General features: G+C 47.4%; 1 annotated feature.

Moving 5' to 3' along the window:
• Positions 5,115-5,409: an enhancer, noted in NCBI's record as "tiled region #10860; K562 Activating non-DNase unmatched - State 21:Repr". NCBI's record gives its function as "activates a minimal TATA promoter and a strong SV40 promoter by Sharpr-MPRA in K562 cells {active_cell/tissue: K562}" and the evidence as "EXISTENCE:reporter gene assay evidence [ECO:0000049][PMID:27701403]".

Raw genomic sequence — 7,017 nt, forward strand, 5'->3', positions numbered from 1 at the left:
CACCCCGCCAAAAAAATCAAGAACATGCAGATAGCAATACTAAAAACAAAACATCATGATTGCATCTTGGTACCAAATTATTATAAATTGACACCATAATGTGTGTCGTTCTGTTCTCTGCCATTTACAGATGGCGTGACAGGACTGGAAGGGCTCCAGGAGAGAGTAATTAAAATGATTAGCAGAAAGCGGGTCCTTCACAGGAGGCAAAAAAAACCAAACTCCATCCTTCAGCGGAAAGTGAGAGCTTGGCCGTGACACGCCAAAGGTGTGCACAGTCAGAACACAGACAATGGTGCCGAATCTCACAGTACCAGCAGTACAGGATAGCGCGCCATCAGTGGTTGACAGAGGCAGATTTGGAAGAAATGAATAGGAACTGCTATTTTGCGTGGCAGATAACGTGGATATCCTTACCCCCAGAGGCTGACACATGAGTCCTCCGTCTTGTCCAAATGTGGAATGAAGATGGCACAGAAGACCAGCTCGTGGGCCTCTGGGTGGGATTCGGAGGGCTGGGAAGAGAGGCAGTGCTGGACGGTGGTGTTGGTCTTTACTCTCTGTATTAACCTGTGGATTATGAGAGCCTGTGACAAATCACATGGAAAACCTTTCAAGACAAAACTTTCTAAGATTTATCTTGTGAACAGCAGTTGTGTTCTTCAATAAAACCGTCCTTAGGTGTCAAGCTGAAGTTTGGACTGGACTGGATAGCTAGCGAGACTTCTATTGTAGTATTTTCTGGGTGCTAGGATCACAGGTGTGAGTAGCTATCATTCTGCCACACCGTGCAAAGCTCATGAGGCCAGAGGCTAGATGGCACCCCAAAATATCCCCAAGAATTACTCCAAAAGGCAATCCAGAGGCCAGAGTATCCAAGGAAGAGTGTATTACAGGTTTTGTTAGTTTACCAAAGGCTATTTATTTATGTAGTGTTGTCAGACACCTGAAAATGTCAACAAATTCTATGTTGACAAAACTTTCTAAACTGGCTCAAGGGTCATTCAAGGTGTTCTCACATACCTATCACCTGGTGTGCTTTTGAGAAAATACATCTGGGCCCCACAGTTCATCTAGATGAGCTAATTTTTTTTTTTAAGAGACACAGTCTTGCTCTGTCACCCAGGCTTTGGAGTGCAGTGGCACAACCATAGCTCATTGCGGCCTCAAACTCTTAGGCTCAAGAAATCCTCTGGCCTCAGCCTCCCAAAGCACTAGGATCACAGGCATGAGCCACTGTGCCTGGCCGGAATTTTTTTAAGTGACCCCAAGTGGTATAATGTGCAGCCGGAGTAGAGAAGCACTGAGCATCTCCACTTGATAAAGCTAATTACTTGAAGGGGTCCTGGCTGTAGGAAGAGGGCAAAGGGCACTGGAGACAAGCTGGGATAGAAGCAAAGACCATTCCGCCGGCTCAGCGCACGAGGTCTGAAATACGTCCAGGCTGCCCCTGCATGGTGGTGGGGGAGGGAGGGGAGGCTCAGCTGGTTTATTTTTTATTTATTTATTTTTAAGACAGAGTCTCACTCTGTCACTCAAGCTGGAGTGCAGTGGCGCAATCTTCACTCACTGCAACCTCCTGGGTTCAAGTGATTCTCCTGCCTCAGCCTCCCGAGCAGCTGGGATTACAGGCGGGCACCACCACGCTCAGCTAATTTTTGTATTTTTAGTAAAGATCAGGTTTCACCATGTTGGCCCAGCTGGTCTCAAACTCCTGGCCTCAAGTGATCCCCCCACCTCGGCCTTCCAAAGTGCTGGGATTACAGGCGTGAGCCACCATGCCCAAATCATTACCTTTTTAAGGCAAACTCCATAAGGCCAGTTCCTGGGGAAAGGAGTGCTTCCCTAGGTCTACTCAGGGGCCTCTGTGGCTTCATTGCATGTCATAGGAAAGGTCTTCCAATATGCATCAGAGCCACTGTTTGTCTAGAAAACTCCTTTCTCTCCCATTGAAATGTTCCTGTCTTTTGCAAAGATGTAGGATCAAAAAGCCCAGACTGCAAAAAGGAAAAGTGCCACCAGTTCCTGTCCAGATTCCCAGTCGGCACACAGGGAGACCCATGTCCTGCAGCTTTGGGCGAACTTTCTGACACCACATCCATTCTGGGCTCCTTTTGGGGCATATGGCTCCCTTATACAACACTAGCTCTTCAGCTACTTAAAAAGCAGAATTACTTCGCTGTAATGTGAGGAACTCTCCAGAAAGAAACTTCAGGCCAGGCACGGTGGCTCACGCTTGGAATCCCAACACTTTGGGATGCCAACTTGGGGAGGATCCTTTGAGCCCAGGAGTTTGAAACCAGCCTGGACAACATAGTGAGACTCCATCACTACAAAAAATATAAAAATTAGCCAGGTGTGGTGGCATGCACCTATAGTCCCAGATACTCAGGAGGCTGAGGCAGGAGGATTGCCTGAAGCTAGCAGCTCGAGGCTGCTGTGAGCTATGATCATATCCCTGCACTCTGGCCTGGGTGACAGAGAGAGGCCCAGTCTCTTTAAAAAAAAAAAAAAGAAAGAAAGAAAGCAGCTTCATGTAGAAAGGCCATTTCAGGTCCCCAGATACCCGCTGGGTGCAGTTCAATTTAGTCCGCCAAGACTTTTCCAGGCATTCTGTTTCCTCTGTCGCCTTGCTTATGTCCCCACCAGCTTCATCCCTTCTTGTTGTTTACCTCTAGGATGTGCTTTGCCCCCTTCCACACATCAAGTGTTGATCTCCTGCCTCACCCACTTGGCTTCATACTTCCATAGACACCATTTCCACCTAGAGCACCTATTGTCTCCTTCAATATCTGTCCGTAACCCATCTCAAGACCCAACTCAAACATCACTTCTCAGAGAAGACAGCTTTCTTAGTGTTAACTTCACTCTACTCTGATCACATCTATGTTTTATCCCGTTTGTGTTTAGACATAGTTGAGATGTACTGATGTTTGCATTTGTTGTCATGTTGCTTCATAAGCAGTTTGGTGTTGTTTCACATATGCCCATTCTGTTTCCTGACCTAGATTTCAAGTTCTCTCTCTCTTTTTTTTTTTTTTTTTGAGATGGAGTTTTGCTCTTGTTGCCCAGGCTGGAGTGCAATGGTGCCATCTTGGCTCACTCCAACCTCCGCCTCCCTGTTCAAGTGATTCTCCTGCCTCAGCCCCGTCAAGTAGCTGGGATTACAGGCATGCACCACCACGCCTGGCTAATTTTGTATTTTTAGTAGAGATGGGGTTTCACCATGTTGGTCAGGCTGGTCTCGAACTCTTGACCTCAGGTCATCCTCCCAGCTTGGCCTCCCAAAGTCCTGGGATTACAGGCATAAGCCACCATGCCTGGACAACTTCAAGTTCTTCAAAACCCAGGAATCATGGTCAGAAGACATAAATAAGTCGAAGAGCTGTGGCTGTGAGTGATGAGAGGCAGGTGTGGGCTTTCTGATTGGGCCTTACAGGGTCTGCACCTGGCTGCAGTGCAGGTGTTAATTGTGATTATGATGAACCAGGCTTTTTCTGCTTGTAGACTAACATAGCTGAAACCATATTTCTGCCAGCCAACAGCCTTTCACGACTTTTTTTTTTTTTTTTTGAGACGGAGTCTTGCTGTCACCCAGGCTGGAGTGCAGTGGCGTGATCTCCGCTCACTGCAGGCTCCGCCCCCTGGGGTTCACTCCATTCTCTTGCCTCAGCCTCCTGAGTAGCTGGGTCTACAGGCGCCCGCCGCCTCGCCCAGCTAATTTTTTGTATTTTTAGTAGAGATGGGGTTTCACCGTGTTAGCCAGGATGGTCTCGATCTCCTGACCTCGTGATCCGCCCACCTCGGCCTCCCAAAGTGCTGGGATTACAGGCATGAGCCACCGCAGCCGGCCAGCCTTTCACGACTTTTCAGGAAGCTGGGACAGTCATAGAGCCAAGGAGATTCAGAACCTGTGCAGTACTTTGAATATCTGGTGAGAAACACCAAGAAGGAACCCCTTGCAAACCCTACACAAACACCAATGCCCTGCACTGTGTTGCTAGTACTCTTTCACTAGCAGTTGATAATTGAATGAATATGCCGAGCGTGGTGGCTCACACCTGTAATCCCAGCACTTTGGGATGCCGAGACGGGTGGATCACGAGGTCAGGAGTTCCAGACCAGCCTGGCCAGCATGGTGAAACCCTGTCTCCACTAAAAATACAAAAAAAAAAAAAAAAAAAAAAAATTAGCTGGGTGTGGTGGCGTGTGCCTGTAATCCCAGCTACTTGGGAGACTGAGGCAGGAAAATCGCTTGAACCAGGGAGTCGGAGGTCGCAGTCAGCCGAGATCACGCCACTGCACTCACAGCCTGGTGACAGAGCAAGACTCCATCTCAAAAGAAAAAAAAAATTGTATGAATATCTGCCCCATACTAGGCTATGAAATAGAAGATAGGATTAAAAATAGACCTGGACATTTCTGCTTAAAGAAGCTTAAAGGCCAGGCATGGTGGCTCACGCCTGCAATCCCAGCACTTTGGGAGGCTCAGGTGGGAAGATCGCTTGAGGCCAGGAGTTTGAGACCAGCATGGGCAACATGATGAAACCCTGTCTCTACAAAATAAATATAAAAATAAATTAGCCAGGTGCGGTTGCATGCGCCTGTAGTCCCAGCCACTTGGGAGGATGAGGCAGGAGGATCACATGAGCTAGGAGTTTGAGGTTGCAATAAGCCATGATTGTGCCACTGTACTCCAGCCTGGGTGACAGAGCAAGACCTTGTCTCAAAAAAAAAAAAAAAAGCAGCAGCTTAAAGATGGCAAGTGAGTTATATGGAACTGATAATTTTCAAGAGACTATGTTTTTTTTTGTTTTTTTTTTTTTGGAGACAGGGTCTCACTCTTCACCCAGGCTGGAGTGCAGTGGAGCGAACACAGTTCACTGCAGCCTTGACCTTCTGAGTTCAAGCAATTCTGTCACCTCAGCCTCCCATGTAGCTGGGATCACAGGTGTGCACCACCATGTCTGGCTAATTGTTAAATATTTTTTGTATAGACAGGGTCTCACTGTTTTGCCCAGGCTTGAACTCCTGGGCTCAAGCAATCCTCCTGCCCCTACCTCCCAGAGTGCGGGATTACAGGTGTGAGCCACCATGCCTGACTGTTGAGTGCTTTTTAATAGAGCTTCAGAGAGTTATGGGAGCCCAAAGGAAGAAAAGACCCATTCTATGTGGAGCCCTGGTATGGTAGACTGTCACAGTGATGGTCCCCAATGAGTCACACCTCTTGGTATGCATGCTCTTCTGTGTTCCCCTCCCACAGGGACTCTGACTCTGCCATGTGACTTAAAGCAATGCACACACGACACAAGCAAAGACTGGATAAATACTTACCCATTAAGGCTTGCTCTCTTGGCACACTGCCTTGGGACTGCCTTGTAAGGAAGCCAGTCTAGCTTAATGGAATATGAAAGGCCTTGTGGAGGGAAACTGAGGCACTCCTGCTGCTAGGCAGCACCTACTGTCAGGCATGGGAATGAGACCATCTTGGGTGTTCCAGGCCAGCTGACCTTATCGTTAATTGCAGCCACTTCTCTGGGCCCTGGTGATGCCAGCAGAGGACCTTCCAGCTGACCTATGGAATTGAGAGAAACAATAAACTGATATTATTTTAAGACTAAAAGTTTTGGGGTGATGTGTTATGCAGCAATAGATTACAGACAGCAGTTGGTACCCAGGAGAAGAGAGTGCTGTAATAAAACAAAGCATGCAGATTTGGCTTTGGACTACGTGGCAAACGGAGGCTAGAAGGGTGGCAAGGAGGTTGTTGGTGCAGTCCAGAGGGTCCAGGAGGCAACGGCTGCCGGAGGCTGGAGGGACAGTGGCTTGTGCGTCGCAGCGTTGTGTGTCGCAGCACTGAAACAATGAGTGGAGGGGAGAATTGGAGTAGTGGAAGTAGTGCTGCAAAACTGTCATCTGTAGTCACCGATCGGAAACATACCTAGTGGGCCTGGCACCGTGGCTCAAACCTGTAATCCCAGCACTTGGGGAGGCTGAGGTGGGCGGATCACTTGAGGTCAGGAGTTCGAGACCAGCCTGTGAAACCCTGTCTCTACTAAAAATACAAAAATTAGCTGGGTGAGGTGGTGCATGCCATAATCCCAGCTGCTCGGGTGGCAGGGGAATTGCTTGAACCTGGGAAGTGGAGGTTGCAGTGAAGTGAGATTGTGCCACTGCACTCCAGCCTGGGCAATAGAGAGAGACTCCGTCTCAAAAAAATAAATAAATAAATAAGGAAACATACCTAATTAACTTGTTAATCCAGCTAAAGAAATTTCCAGGTAGAATGGTAAATTGTCTTTTTTAAGAAGCTTTAACCATAAGCTTCCAAAGGAGGAACTATTCAGTTTGCAAACAGAATTTAAAAGAAACACACAGAGGGGCTGGGATGTGCTGGGTTGTAAAATAAAATGTCAGATTTCTAGTCTCTCTACTACACAAAACGGTTGCAAAGAAATAGCTTTAGGGTAAAGATCAAATTAAGTTTGAGGCTGTAAGACTCTTTAAGACCTCAAAGAGATTTAAGATGGTGCCAAATAGCCCCATCAGCTAGAAAAAGGTGTTTCTAAGAATCTTAAAGTCATTGTCCCACAGCTGTCTGACATGCTGCCCAAAGTAGAGGGAGGACCAGCTCTAAAATAATCGTGGCTATGGCTTTTGTCTAATTGAGTGGACTATTTTCTTTCTTTTCTATTTTATTTATTCATTCGTTTATTTATTTATTTATTTATTTGTTTATTTACTGAGACAGAGTCTCACTCCATCGCCCAGGCTGGAGTGCGGTAGCGCTATCTCAGCTCACTGCAACTTCTGCCTCCCAGGTTCAAACAATTCTCCTGCCTCGCCTCCCGAGCAGCTGTGATTACAGGCACCCACCACCACACCCAGCTACTTTTGTATTTTTTTTTAGTAGAGATGGGGTTTCACCATGTTGGCCAGGCTGATCTTGAACTCCTGACCTCAAGTGATCCGGTCACCGCGGTCTCCCAAAGTGTTGGGATTACAGGCGTGAGCCAC

Source organism: Homo sapiens, chromosome 2 (assembly GCF_000001405.40).
Source record: "Homo sapiens chromosome 2, GRCh38.p14 Primary Assembly".
NCBI lineage: Eukaryota > Metazoa > Chordata > Mammalia > Primates > Hominidae > Homo > Homo sapiens.